General features: G+C 49.6%; 1 long non-coding RNA gene across 1 annotated transcript; it reads left to right on the top strand.

Moving 5' to 3' along the window:
• The first annotated feature begins 1,795 nt into the window (after positions 1–1,795).
• LOC124900658 (uncharacterized) lies at positions 1,796–3,379 on the top strand. Its single transcript, XR_007058013.1, has 2 exons — positions 1,796–1,909; positions 2,963–3,379. It is a non-coding gene; the product is annotated as an uncharacterized LOC124900658 (long non-coding RNA).
• Positions 3,380–15,738: the final 12,359 nt, after the last annotated feature.

The following is a 15,738-nucleotide window of genomic DNA, read 5'->3' on the forward strand; positions in this document are numbered from 1 at the left end:
AAAATATCTCTCTTCTCCCCATTTTGCAGATGAGGAAACTGAGGCCCAGGGTTCCAGATCTCCTAACCTTAGTTTATGTAGCTGTAAAGGCAGCACTGTGATTTCAACCTTATAACCTGTGCTCTTAACCAAGACAATGCCACTTCCAGTTCATAGTAGACAGGAGGGGACAGAGTGTGCTTCCTCTCCAAGAGTTACCTGCAGCAGCGGCAGGCTCTGGAGCCTCGAGTGCCCCCCAGTATCTTACAACCTCACTCCGGGTCCATTCTCAGAGAAAGGCACAAGAGACACTGGGATGCATTTGGCAAATGCATCCTCAATGTCCCACTGGGTCAGGGTCACGTCATCTCTGCTGCCCTTGACTCCCCTCCCCCTCCTGCCAAAAGAAAGCCAATGGGCAGGGAGCGGGGGCTCTGTTCATGGCTGAACCCTCCAGAGCCACTGGAGGTCACAATGAGTGCAGGCCTCTGGGCCGAAAGGTGAAATCCGGCATTAGCATTGCAGTTGACAAGGTTTGTCACCGAACCAAACTGGGTTTGGTTTGTTTGCCTATGTGCAAGGGAAAGCTGAACACAGAAGCACCAGTGACAAAGGCTTATTGCCAGGCAGCTGAACAAGGAGACAGGAGTTGAGCTCAAATCTGTCTGCCCCCGTACCAGCCTTGCCACCATGGATTTAAGGGAGAGATTCTGAGTTTGGAGTTTCGTGGTTGGGCAGTGACTGGCTAGAAGGAAGGGAGTCTGGGGGGTCCCTGGGGCTTGGGCTGCTGCCCTAGCATGCTTCTTCATGGGTTGCATGTTCAGAAAATGGCAACATCTAATCTGGAGGTGGAGTTTCTGGCCCTCTGACGTCAAAAAGCCACTCATGGGGCACGCAAGTCTATTCTGCACAGACTCCAGTCAGCCATGTTGGTTCCCGCGAGTCTCAGCTCATGGGCGAATTTTGTTGCAGATGGAAGGCACGGTAACAAACTTTTCTCCCTTGCTGTCCTGCAAGAGCAGCTCAGAAAATTTTGCTAGTGAGCAAATTCTCTTAACCCTTTGGGGCCGGGTTTCAGGTGCTTACATTGTTTCTCCTCTTGACTTCACCTGGGAAGTCAGGTTTTTACCCCCATTTTATAGATGAGAAAGGGAAGCTCAGAGCACAAAGCAACATGCCTGACTCCCAGCGGGACATCTGTTCATTGACTCTACAGACACTGCGTGCTAGGTCCTGGGTGCTGGTGAGGCTGGGACCCAGCCTGGGTCTCCTGACCCCATAAGAAAGAGGTTTCCTGGGGTAACAGCTGCAGCCTCTGAAAAGGAAAAATCCTTCTCCAAGTTCCTGGAAATATCCAGGGCTTTGCAATGCAGGGCGTACTCCTCCCAGGGACCCTCCTGGCTTCTCTGGAGCCTTGGGTGAGTGGTCAGTGCTCACCTGCCCCTGGGGTTGTGGCACTATACGATTGGGTCTTTCCCAGTCAGGGTTCCTTCTGGAACCCACCACCCTCCCACTCCTCCCCTACAGTGATCGTCCTGGTGCTGTGCTCAGTGTCCACTGAACACACCACACGTACAGCCAACACTAGCTTCGTGAGTCCTACTCCACGCCACGGGCAATGCGAGCCTTGGGGATGTGGACACAGACACGCTGGGTTGAGACACTCAGCTGTTGTCCCAAGTGGTGCTGTGCTGGTAAATGTTTAACAACTGGCTCTTGGTTGGGGCAGTGTGACGTGCAGCATTCCCCAGTTTCCACAGTGTGAATACTCCCCCTACGTTGCCAACACAAGGTCGCTGGTGCAGAGCTGGGAGGAGATGCACACAGTTGGCTCTGCTAGCTGAGCAGGGTGAAGCCGGCACCAGGACACCATTGACTAAGGGCCATGGAGACCCAAGAGGCAGCTGTTGTAGGAGAGGGCCAGGGCCAGGTATGTTTTAGGTGTCTCAGGAAAACCTCCTGCTCCAAGCGGGTGGATGGGGAGAGAGCAGTGCTGCGGTGCAGGAGAAGATAGTTCTGGAAGCACCACCTGCCATGGGCCTACTTCACAACAGGCACTGTGTTCAGTGTGCCAGACACCACCTCAGCCAGTTCTCACAGCTGACAGGTGAGATAGTTGTGACAATAATAAATTGATTGTACTTTTAGTTCCCTCACATTGTAACGCCCCAGTGGCTCCACATTAGATGAATTTGAGGGAAAAAACAAAGCCACTGTTTCAGCCTTGAATTATTCTGAGTTTTTTTTAGTCTAGTCTCCATGACCATATGTAAAACCAAGACTTAACTTTTTTTCTATCCAAAGAACACATGAATGAGGGCCAAATAAGACTTTTCTAAAAATCAATCATTTATTTGTTCATTTAAATTTTGTATAGGTAACAGAAGAGGGAAGGGTCACATATAAAGAATTAGGAATCAGAACAGCTTCAGACTTGATGATAGCTATACTGACAGCTAGAAGATGATGAGGCAATTCCTGCAAAATTGGCCTCTGCCTGCCTTTTACTGAAGGAAAGTGATCTCCAAACTAGAATTCTATACCCAGCCGAACTGTCGATCAAGGCTGCAGATCTGATAAGGTCATTTTCAGACATTTAGGATTGCAATAATTTTTACTTCCCCAGAACCATCATTAGAAAGTCAACAGAGCATGAACTGCATAAAAACAAGGGAGATATGGAATAGCTGATGTGTCCCAAGGTCTAGAGAGGAGATTTAGACAACAGGCAGAGAGTTTGGGGTTACATTAGCATTAGGCATGCACACGCACACACACACACACACACACACAAAAACAAAAAAAAAAACAAAAAACAATATCTTTATGGGGAAAAGTTAAGAAGGGAAAAGTAATCATAGTATATTACACAGCTCTGCTCTGAGTTACATTTATATAATCATGCTTATCTATGTGGTGAGTTCTTATAATTTTATGTTGCCTCAACATTGATTTTGAATATAAATTGGACTTTCTCATACAGAAGCAGGGCTCAATCACCATCGACACGGTTTCCAGTTCTCCACTTCCTCCCAGTTCCTTGATGTGTCAATCCAGATATCTGGCATATGCAACTTCCTCCTGGTGAACACCTCCATATGGAACATCCAGATACAACCTTCTTGACTCATCCCACTGACTCACCCCACATGGACCGTGCAGATATGCCACAGTAGCCACCTCTCAGTCACAGCATGACTTCTGGAACTTGTGCCTGCTTGCTTCAAACCCACCGATTAAAACTTCCTGCAGGAAATCTGTATAGAGAATGCCCTAGACTCCAATAAAGGCAAGGGTCCTTCTGTCTCTCTCCCTCACATGCTCCCTGACTTCTGTGTGTGTGGCCTCTGGGCATGCCGTGTACCCTCAGGACCTGTAAGTAATAAAATCTTTATTTCCATCTTGTGTTTCTCCTAATCATTGAAAGGCTGCTTTCCATCTCAGAGATCTTAAACTAAAACAATCTGACACGAATCACACTCTCTTTGCGCTTGGGGGTAGGCTGATGGGAAGGAGGGTGTGAGGTTGGGGGCAGGAAATGAGGGAAAGCTAAAACCTCCTCTTCCATGAAGGGAAGTCAATAGGTCTTGACTAAACTGGAAAATTGAAAAGCAGCAATATAAGAATGTTATTTAGGAAAATACAGGCATACATTGTTTTATCGCACTTCACAGGTACTACATTTCTTTTTACAAATTGAAGGTCTGTGGCAACCTTGCATTGAGCAAGTCTATCGGCACCATTTTTCCAACAGCATGTGCTCACTTGGTGTCTGTGTCAGCATTTTTTAGCAATAAAATATTTTGAAATTAAGGTATATACATTTTAAGACAGAATGCTAATATTATATGCTTAGTAGACTACAGTAGAGTGTCAACATAACTTTTATATGCACTGGGAAACCAAAAAAGTTGTGTGACTTGCTTTATTGTGATATTCACTTTATTGCAATGGTCTGGAACAAAACTTGCAATATTCTGAGGTATTCTTACACCAACAAAATTGGCTTTTTTTTTTAAAAAAAAATAAAGGAAGTGGTTGCCTATGGGGAAGAATAATTTGAGTGGGTGGGGTAGAGGGGCAGGGCACTGCTGGTTTTTATAGAAAGCCCTGGGGATTATTTAACTTCTTAGATTACATGCACATGCAACCTTTTTTTTTTTTTTTTTTTTTTTTGAGACGGAGTTTCGCTCTGTCGCCCAGGCTGGAGTGCAGTGGCGCGATCTCGACTCACTGCAAGCTCCGCCTCCCAGGTTCACGCCATTCTCCTGCCTCAGCCTCCCGTGTAGCTGGGACTACAGGCGCGCGCCACCATGCCCGGCTAATTTTTGTATTTTTAGTAGAGACGGGGTTTCACCGTGTTAGCCAGGATGGTCTCGATCTCCTGACCTCGTGATCCGCCCGTCTCGGCCTCCCAAAGTGCTGGGATTACAGGCGTGAGCCACCGTGCCCGGCCGCAACTTTTTTCTAAGATCTTTAAAATTTTTTAATTGATATGTAATAATTATACCTATTTATTTTGTACATGTGATAGTTCAGTACATGTATACAATGTGTAATGATCAAATCAGGGCAACTGGGATAGCCATCACCTAAAACATATGTCATTTCTTTGCGTTGAAATCATTCAAAATCTTCTCTTCTAGCTGTTTTTAAATATTTAATACATTATTGTTAACTGTAGTCACCCTAGTAATTTTCCATTCATTCACTAACTTCTTCCTAAACCACTCTTCCTTACCCTTACCAGCCTGTGAGAATTACTATTCTACTTTCTATGAGGTCAACTTTTTTAGCTCCCACATATGAGTGAGATCATGCAATATTTGTCTTTCTGTGCCTGGCTTATTTCACTTCACATAATGACCTACAAAATCCACGTATCTAGACATGACAGGATTTCATTATTTTACATGAACAAATTGTATTCCATTATATATACCACATTTCCTCATCCATCCATCTGTTGATGGACACTTGGCTTGATGTTGATTCCGTCTCTTGGCTATCGGGAATACTGCCACAGTAAACATGGGAGTGCTGATATCTCTTCAACATACTAATTTCATGTCCTTTGGACATAATCCCAGTAGTGGGATTGCTAGATCATATGGTACTTCTATTTTTAGTTTTTTGCAGAACTTCCATGCTATTGTCCATAATGGCTGTACTAATTTACATTCCCACCAACAATATGTAAGAGTTCCCCTTTCTCCCCATCCTTGACAGCATTTTTTGGTCTTTTTGAATAGTCATGTTAACTGGGGCAACGTGACTTCTCACTGTGGTTTTGATTTGCATTTTCCTGATGATTACTAATGTGGAGCATGGTTTCATATGCTGGCCATTTGTATGTCTTCTTTTGAGAAATGTCTATTCAAACCATTTGCCCATTTATTTCTTTTTTTGTTTCCCTTTTTTAATTTAAAAATTATTTTTGTCATTTTTTAGTACTTTTTATTTTTTCTTATTTTTCTTTTCATATCACAGCCAAGACCAACATTTGCTCATTTTAATTGGATTATCTGATTTTTACCAAGTTATTTTAATTCCTTATATATTCTAGATATTAATTCCTTGGTGGATGAATATTTAACAAATATGTTTTCCCATTCTGTAGGTTGTCTCTACTCTTTGTTGATTGTTTTCTTTGCTGTGGAAAAGTTTTTTAGTTTGATATAATGCGCTTTGTCTATTTCTACTTTTGTTGCCTGAGTTTTTGAGGTCTTACCCAAAAAATCTTCGTCCAGACCAATGCCCTGAAGTATTTCCTCTGTTTCATAGTTTCAGGTCTTATGTTCAAGTTTTTAATCCTTCTTGAATTGCTTTTTGTATATGGTAAAAGATAGGGGTCTAATTTCATTCTTCTGCATATCAATATCCAGTTTTCCCAGTACCATTCATGGAGAGACTATTCTTTCCCCAACATATATTCTTACCACTTTCATCAAAAAATCAGTTGACTGAAAATGCATGGATTTAGTTCTGGGTTCTCTATTCTATTCCACTGAGTGATATGTCTGTTTTTATGTCAGTACCAAGTTGTTTGGTTACTATAGCTTTGGTTACTATAGTATATTTGCAGTCAGGTAGTATGATACCTCCAGCTTTGTTCATTCTAGGGATTGCTTTGGCTATTCGAGGTCTTTATGGTTTTAGATGAATTTTAGGATTTTTTTCTATTTCTGTGAAGAATGTTATTGGTATTTTGATAGAGATTATATTGAATCTGTAGATCACTTTTGGTAATATGAACATTTTAACATTAATTCTTTCAAATTCCAACAAAATTAATTCCATGAACGTGGAATATCTTGAAATTTTTTGTGTGTCCTCTTCAATTTCTTTCATCAGTGATTTATAGTTCTTGTTATAGAAATCTTTTACCTCTGGTTAAATTTACTCCTAGGCATTTCATTTTTTGCAGCTATTATAGATAGGATTGCTTTCTTGATTTGTTAATATTGCTCACTATTGGCATACAGAAATGTTACTGATTTTTGTATGTTGATTTCGTATCCTGCAACTTTACTAAATTGATCAGTTCTACCAGTTTTTTGAGGCATCTTTGGGTTTTTGTTATTTTTGAGATGGAATCTCACTCTTGTTGCCCAGGCTGTGTGCAATGGTGAGATCTTGGCTCACTGCAACGTCTGCCTCCAGGGTTCAAGCAATTATCCTGCCTCAGCCTCCCAAGTAGCTGAGATTACAGGCGCCCGCCACCACGCTCAGCTAATTGCTGTATTTTTAGTAGAGATGGGGTTTCACCATGTTGGCCAGGCTAGTCTCCAACTCCTGACCTCAGGTGATCTACCCACCTCAGCCTCCCAAAGTGCTGGGATTACAGGCGTGAGCCACTGCGCCTGGCTATCTTTGGGTTTTTCTAAATATAATCATGTCATCTGCAAACAGGAAAAATTTGACTTTCTAATTTGTCTAATCCTTTCTTTCTCTTGCCTCATTGCTCTGGCTAGGACTTCAGTACTAAGTTGAATAAAAGTGGTGAAAGTGGGCATACTTTCAACTTTTCCCATTTGGTATGATCTTAGCAGAATGCATATTCAACTTTGATTAAAAACAAACTTAAAGAAAAGGCTTTATGATCAGCCATCAACTTTTTTAAGGGACAGCTCAAATGGTGGCCTAAGGGAAGTTTGCCGCAGCAGCGGATGAAGACCCTTTCCTCCCATCTACACCTCAGGAGGAGGAAAACACGGGCCCAAGTGTCCCAGATGCACGGGGAAGTCATAGTAGAGGAGGCAGTGGCTTGGGGTGTGGGGCTGTGGCCGCTGACAGCTTCCAGAATCTTGGCCTCGCCTCCCCTGTTAGGTCTTAATGGACGCCCTTGAGGGAGGGGCCATGTTTTCCTCAGCCTTGGACAGGACACAGGCCTGGGCTGGCTGCCGGTGCTCAGCCCTGCGTGGCTGGCTGACTTGGCCAGCTCTTGTGTTCTGTGGGGGACTTTGTCCTGCTTCCTCCACCAGATGTAAAGCCAGTGATTGTTTTTTTCTATTTGAAGGCCACAAACAGAGGGAAGGCCAAGGCTCACTTGTATTCTGAGAAAAAGATGATGTTCTGGTCTCTCTACACCCTGTGTGGGAAGAAACAACCCCTCAATATGGGGGAGCGGCCAGAACCATGATCCCAGGCCCCATCTGTCTTCAGGCTTTGGGCGAATTTCCTCCAAATTACTGGCAAATTCTACAGTTCCCACGACAGCTGCAAACACTTAATTTTTTTGTTGTTGTTTTTACATTTTTTTTTTTAAATTTTTGAGACAGAGTCTCCCTCTGTCTCCCAGGCTGGAGTGCAATGGTGACATCTCAGCTCACTGCAACTTCTGCCTCCTGGGTTCAAGCGATTCTCCTGCCTCAGACTCCCAAGTAGCTGGGATTTCAGGCACCTGCCACTAAGCCCGGCTAATTTTTATATGTTTAGTAGAGATGGGGTTTCACCATGTTGGCCAGGCTGGTCTCAAATTCCTGACAGGTGATCCACCCGCCTCGGCCCCCCAAAGTGCCGGGATTACAGGTGCGAGCCACCGAGCCAGCCTGCAAATATTTTGTTTTCTCCCTATAAGCCCTATGGCCAGATATACCAGGTCCAGTTTTCAAATCCCTACATCTGCCCTAACCCCTGTGTGCCTGGGAAGTGACTGTGCTCCTGGGTGGTGAGGGGGACGTGGAGGGGATTTAACATGTACTTGGTTCTGTGCTGGGCATTTTGTAGCCCGCAGTACTGGGATTACAGGCCTGAGCCACGGTGCCCAGCCTGAAGTATGGTTTTATTCAGTGGCTCCCTTACACTGTCTGTCTCTGTCTCGGCTGCCCGCTCTGGCTCTGAGTCTCCTGTCGCTCCCACGCCTGCAGCTGCATTCCCTGGCCTGCAAGGCTGGCTCTCCCTTACAGGGTCAAAACCTTCACTCTCTCTCTCTGGGCGCAAGCCAAATGCACAGCAGCAGCAGGACAGTCATACCTTTTACAAACAGCAGTGACTCTGAGCCAGGTGATGAGCCTTCCCATGTTATGGCTGTCTGTGAAACCGCTTTGTGATGTGTGGATTCATCGCACAGAGTTAAACCTTTCTTTTGATTCAGCAGACTGGAAACACTCTTTTTGTAGAATCTGCGAAGGGACATTTTGGAGCCCATTGAAGCCTATAGTGAAAAACCGAATATTCTACGATAGAAACCATGGAGGCCTATAGTGAAAAACTGAATATCCCATGATAAAAAACAGAAAGAAGCTATCTGCGAAACCACTTTGCGATGTGTGGATTCATCTCACAGAGTTAAACCTTTCTTCTGATTCAGCAGACTGGAAACACTCTTTTTGTAGAATCTGTGAGGGGACATTTCGGAGCCCATTGAGGCCTATAGTGAAAAACCGAATATCCTGAGATAAAAACTAGAAAGAAGCTATCTGTGAGACCGCTTTGCGATGTATGAATTCATCTCACAGAGTTAAACCTTTCTTCTGATTCAGCAGACTGGAAACACTCTTTTTGTAGAATCTGTGACGGGACATTTCGGAGCCCATTGAGACCTGTAGTGAAAAACCGAATATCCCACAATAAAAACTAGAAAGAAGTTATCTGTGAAACCGCTTTGCGATGTTTGTTTTTAAAATCCTCCTCTTCCCACTAGAATGTAAGCTTCAGAAGAACAGGCTATTCATTCTGCCCACTGTGTGCACCCAGCCTGGAACGGTGCCCAGAGTGGGTTAGTGTGCGGTGTGCACGTACTGACCTGGTGGTGATGAAGGGCGCAGGAAGGACACGCGACCTGATCTTTATCCTAAGGAGCCCACACTGGAACAGGATTAGATTGAAGGTAGATTAGAGGGAAGCATGGAGGAGGAGCGGCTGGCCTGGTGGGCTCAGGAGGGCCCCCTGGAGGAGGTGAGCCAGCAGTTGCTGTCACATTCAGAGACCCTGAGGATGTCTGACTGCCCTGCGAATTGGGCTCTGCAGAGGGCAGGGGTCTGTCGATTTGCTGTAGCCCCAGGAACTACAGGCACCCAATCCATGGAGGCCTTTGTCCAACAAGTATTCATTGGACGCTTGTCATACATGTGGTTCTGAAGACCCGGAGGAGAACCGCAGAGCCATGGCCCGGCCCTCATCTCCATTGAGAGCTGGTCCCTGGTACAGAGGCAGGCTCCTGGGGCGGCAGAGATGGGTGGGGGGCAGGGCGTTGGGAGTTGAAGGCACCACTGCGGGTTGGTCTGGGAACAGCCCCTGGATGAGGAGAAGCAGGGAGGACAGTGACAGGAACGATTCTGGAGTGGAGGGAACCGCTTGTGCAGAGGCTCTGAGCAGGAGGCCCGCTGTCCCGCTTTCCTGGAGCAGCCTCAGGGGGTTCTGGAAGGCCTGGCCGGACCCGTTGCACAGAGAATTCCAGCCAGGGAGGGCCGGGCGCTTGTGAGCCGACCTGCTCCAGAGCAGCTGTCGGTGCTGTCCGTGGGTCCCGCTGCGACCTGGCAAGGGCCCACTGGGGATGAGTGGAGGACTGGAAGTGTCCAAATCCCACTCCGCTGTTGTGTTTTGGTTTGGGTGTGTGTGTGTTTAAGAAGAAACAGCTGCAAGGCCAAGAGAGAATGGATGTTTGGAAAAAGTTCTGATGCTTATAGACTCAGGGCTGGCCACGGTGAGCCCACATACCGCGGGGCTGAGCTGCCTGGTCCGGGATCAGAAGCAGAACCCAGCCACCGCAGTGCCAGGCCTGCCTCCTCAGGCCCCAGACTTAGGCCCGCACAAACTCCTCCTTCCTTCGTCCTCTCTGACGAGCTCACAGCCCTCCCGGCAGAGGGGCCTCAGACCCAGCACGCTCTGTGGGTGTCCCACGCGCTGCTGGGAGCCCAGCCCCTGGGCAGGCAGGGTCCCCGGACATAGCCATAGCATCCGGCCTGGGGATTTCTGCCCCCTGAGATCCCTCTGAGAGTGGAGCTGGCCCTGTGTGCCCTGGGGTTCCCCAGGCTGGACCCTCCTGCCTCACTCTGGTGGCTGCACGGCAGCGGCCGTCACCATCTACTGAACCCCAATATGAGCTGGGTCCGGCATCACAGTGAGTCTTCACAGGAGCCCTGCCATGTAGGCGATGCTGTACCTAGTTTACAGACGAGAAAACTGAGGCTCCGAAAGTCTGTGTCACTTGCTGGGGTTCTGGAGTCATGGCCGGCCAGGAACTCTGACACCAATACACGAGATATTTCCCTCCTAGATATCCAGGTCAGGCCCAGGAAAGGGATAAGAGCCGGTGGGTTTAGGGAAAAGGTGCAGGCCTGGAAAACCCAGAACAGGAGTCCGGCTAGATTCCTGCATCAGTGCTGAGAGCTCAGGGATGCTGAGCTCCCAAGCACAGAGCCCAGGGAAGCTCACTGACCTTCCCCATCCCTCGCTGAAGGGGGCCGGCTTCTTCCCGTGCCCCTGTAACCGCCACCGGCCTCTGCGTCCACCCTGCACACCCACAGCAGGGCGGCAAACCCAGAGCATGCCACACATATTTGGGTCGTCTGTCCACCCTTGCTGTGCCGTGTGTCATCATGAGACTTGGAAAGCAGCTTCATGTCCAGTAGTGGGGAGGGGCTGAGTGCTGGTGATCACTGGTTTCATGGGATATTAGGTCACCATTTAAAAAGAGGCGAATGAGGACGACGCAGTGCCACGGGAAATACTTACAGCCGAGGTCAATGGAGGAAGTGAGAGGAAAAGGCACATGAGTGACAGGAGCATAATTATATTCAGAAAATCACTCCAAGAACAAGTCTGGAAAGAAACGCCCCAGAATGACGGCATTTGTTGTTTGGGGGTGAGCAGGTGGGACTCTGGGAGATTCTTTTCCTTGATTTTAACATTTTACATGAAGTATTTATTTTGTTTATGATTTTATAAAGAAACCTTCACGGAGAGAAATGACCTCAGCTAGAAGGCTAAAATCAAAGGACTTTGCGTTCCAATGCCTTCACTAAGCAGGTGGAAAGAACTGAGGCCCAGAGGGATATGGTCACCCAAGGCTCCACAGCAGAGAGAAGGATCCAGGCCCCTTAATGCATGGTGGTGCTGTTCCCACCACAAAGGCTGGGCCAGCAGCTGGGGGTCCCAGGGAGGACACAGCCTCACTTCCAGGGGCCTGGCCAGGCAGGGATGGAGATGGAGTCGGGGGGAACTAGGAAAAGCCTCCCAGGGCAGCCCGGCCGTGGAGGGATGAGCGCCCGAACACGATTTGCCTTGAGTTGGAATCGCTCTTCCACGCCCTGCCCCAGGAGCTTCAGAGGTTCAAGGATCCATCTTGCAATCTTTAGGTGGACAGAACACAAATGGGCCGAGTCCCTTTTTGCAGAGGTGGCGTCAGCCTGGGCAGGGAAGAGGCATGGGCGGTGGAACCAAATCACCCTGATTTCAAACAGAGGGAGTTGGGCAGGCATTTCACAAAGGAAAGCGTCCCACAGCCAATTAACTTGGGAAGATGCTCGGCTCTGTCAGCCATCAGGGCATGCAAATTAAAACCCCTCGAGATCCTCCTGCGCGCCCACCGGAAAGGATGAAGTGAAGCGGATGGAACATACCAAGTGCCGGTGAGATCCTGGGGCGAGGGAGCTTGGGGAGGGTGCAGCTGCTGGGAGTGGGAACTGGAATGAGTGCTTTGGAGGACTGTTTGGCAGGATCCACCCAACATTCACAGGTGTCCTGGGCAGGTGGACACCCTGCGGATGTCTTGTTGGGTGCAAGAAGTTCCGCCTGTTGAGGGCTTCGCTCAGCGCGGCGTCTACCCCTGGCTGAAGGACACACGGCCCTTTTTGTGCGTCTTTTCCCTTCTGAGGAGCCCCTGCCTCGCTGAGCTTCCCCGTCCGTCCCTGAAGGGGGCTGGCTTCTTCCTGTGCCCCTTTAACAGCCATCGGCCTCTGCGTCCACCCTGCACACCCACGGCAGGGCGGCAAACCCAGAGCACGCCGCACAGCCCTGCTTGCGCACAGCCCTGCTCCCGCGCGCCCGTGGTCGGCGCCGCTCGGGCTGGCTGGCGTGTTTGGGATCACTGTTTAGAGGACAGTCCTGACACGTCCCGCTGTGACACGCGTGCTACCTCGCCGGCCGGCCCTGGACTTTGCTCTGGCGTGTGGCCGAGCACACTTGTCGTCAGAACCCTCTCGTTGGCAAGAGGCACTGGATGCAGGGCTGGGGCTCAGGTCCTTGCTGTATGATGGGAATCACGTTCCTGGCTCTTTCTGGGCCTCAGTTTCCCCATATACAGAACCGTGGGAGAGCCAGAAGATTTCCAAAGGCCCTCTTAGGTGCCACCTCTCCTGGCACACTGCCTCGGGTTCCCCGGCCTCCTGAGAGCCAGGCAGCGGGAGGTGAGGAGCCGCGGTAACCTGCGCCTCCGGAGGCTGGCCCTCTGCTGGGGAGTTCAAACACGGTGTACCATGTAGCACCCCCAATTACTCACTTGTTCAGAGCCCAGCACATAGCAAACACTTAGTAGGTATTTGCTGGATAAATGGCTCATTGCGAAAGGGGCTGGATGGAGGTGGGAAAGCCGCTGGGTGTGTCCAGGCAATGAGCTGGGGTGTATGTGGGGATGCTCTGGGTGTATGTGGGGGTGGAACCAGAGGGGATGGGAGCACTGGATGGAGATGATGGGAAGGGCTGGGTGGTTGGGAGGGGGACTGGGTAGATGTGGGGGAGGGTCAGGAGGCATGAAGGGTGAACACTGGGTTAAAATGGGGGAAGCGTCTGGGAGAAGTTGGGGAGGGGTCTCGGGAGGGTGAGGTAGGTGGGGAGGGGCTGGAAGGCTGGCGCTGATGGACGGCGGCCACCACAGCCCTCTTGTGCCTCTGAAGCTCATTATCTTAGAGTTTCAAGGTCACGTCAGGCAAGTGTGGAGCCCAGGTGGGGGCTGGAGTTTGTGGAAACCAGCCTGGTCTTGGAGCACATCAGGGAAAGGAAATCACTGCCCGGCGGCCGGCCCGGGGGCGCTTCTCCAGCCTGGCTTCAGGAAGACCGTGAGCAAACACAGACCAGACGGGGCTGAGGCCAGCAGCTGGGCAGGGAGCCACGCTGGCCTCATGCTGTCCCCACAAAGGGCTCCTGTCCCCTGGGCTGGGGATGGTGTCACAGCTTCCTGAGCAGTGTCGTCTCGGCTCCCGGAACTCCTGGTAGGTGGGCCAGGCCTGGGGTGGGATGCCTGGGCTGGGGGTAGGGGAGCAGCATCCCCAGAGCTGTTATCCTCTTCATCATTGTGGCTGCAGAGAGGGGAACTGAGGCAGGGCCTAAAACCGAGGTCACTACAGAGATGCCACCAGAACCGCAAGCCTCTGCCTTTCTGCCCCGTGCACTTTCTGTGATGGTTAGGGTTAGGGTTAGGGTTAGGGTTCATGTTAGGGTTAGGGTAGGCTTACCTCACTGCAGAGCCAGAGAACACACCCCCGTAGGGGAGCTGAGGGAGGTCTGAGCCTCCAGCTGCTGCCTGTTTCTCCATGGGTCCTGGTGAGGGTGGACCACCCCAAGCCTACCTTGAATCTGTTCCTTGACATGCTCCTTAGATTGAGTCTTTAAAACCCTGCCTGTCCCAAGTACTCAGAATCAGAAAGAATCACCCAACTGTGTTCTGTGGCACCAGGTATCAATTCCCTGTGTACCTCCATGGACTCAGCGCCATCTCAGAAGTGAGGGCGGAGGGAAGGAACCTTCTAGAAGGAGGAGTTTGCTGCAGAACATCCAGAGCCCACAGCACTGAGTCGTCTCCATGCCCCTTGCCTGTGGTTCTCTGTAGCACATGGCAGGGGGGTGGGTGGTGCAGCACCTCCTTCTGATGCGTTGAGTGTCAGCACTGCAAGGTCCCCTACCCCATGCCCAGTGCCCAGTGCCCAGTCCCGTGGGAGCTCCTCATTTGGGGCAGAGACCAGGGCAGAGGCAGCGAGGGCTCCTCTCCTCCCTCACTCAGGGGCTACAGGCTGGTCACTTGAGCTCTCTGGAAATCAGTCTCCTCATCTGGAAAACGGGGCTCATCCTGACCTTGTGATGGGCATGAGGTGATGGTATCAGATAATGTGCGCGAACGACCCTGTAAATCATAAATTGGTTGCAGTTTCTCTCCAGCGACACCCTAGTACACTTTGGAGCCTGGTGAACTTGAGTTTGCATGCCAGCTCCTGACCTCCTATGGCCCACGTCCTCACTGGAGGATGGGCTCTGGAGGCTGGAGGGCTGGTGGAAGAGGAAGTGAGATGGCAGTTCGCTGGCTTCTGCATCAGGCCCCAACTGTACCCTGGGCCTCCCAGGCTTGCACGTGCCTCCTCACAGCTTCCCTTGAACATCCTGTATCATCCAGCAGCCCTAAACCGTGTGATTTTTTCCTCTGGGAGGTGACAGCCTGGACCAGAAGTTGAAACCTGGCCCCAGGGTATGGTGTGCCCCACTGTCAGAGGGACCTCAGATGAGCCACTAAGCCTCTCTCTGCCTCAGTTTCCTTATCTAAAATGGGTGGAATCAGCTGGGCGCCGTGGCTCATGCCTGTAATCCCAGCACTTTGGGAGGGCGAGGCGGGTGGATCATTTGAGGTCAGGAGTTCAAGACCAGCCTGGCCAACATGGTGAAACCCCATCTCTACTAAAAAAATACAAAAATTGGCTGGGTATGGTGGCGGGTGCCTATAATCCCAGCTACTCGGGAGGCTGAGGCAGGAGAAATCACTTGAGCCTGGGAGGCAGAGGTTGTGGTGAGCTGAGCTCGTGCCACTGTACTCCAGCCTGGGTGACAGAGCGAGACCCTGTCTGTAAAATAAAATAAATAAAATAAAATAAAATAAAATAAAATAAAATAAAATAAAATAGGTGGAATCATCTGGTCCCTGGCTGGGCTCACAAAAATCCCACAGGGAATGAATGATTATCAGTCTACTGGGGCTGCCATAGTGGGGTTCCACAGACTGGGGGCTGGAACAACAGACATTTATTTTCTCACAGCTCAGGGGGCTGAGAGTCTGAGACCAAGGTGTCGACAGGATTGGTTTCTCCTGAGGCCTCTCTCCTCGGCCTGCAGATGCCACCTTCCCTCCGTGTCCTCACCTGGTCATCCCTCTGTGACTGTCTGTGTCCTCATCTCTTATAAGGATACCAGTCAGACTGGATTAGAGCCCACTCTGATGACCTCACTTTACCTTAATCACTTTTTTTTTTTTGACACAGAGTTTTGCTTTTGTCACCCAGGCTGGAGTGCAATGGCGCGATCTCAGCTCACAGCAACCTCTGCCTCCTGGGTTCA

The sequence above is a fragment of the Homo sapiens genome, chromosome 4 (genome assembly GCF_000001405.40).
Source record: "Homo sapiens chromosome 4, GRCh38.p14 Primary Assembly".
Classification (NCBI taxonomy): Eukaryota; Metazoa; Chordata; class Mammalia; order Primates; family Hominidae; genus Homo; species Homo sapiens.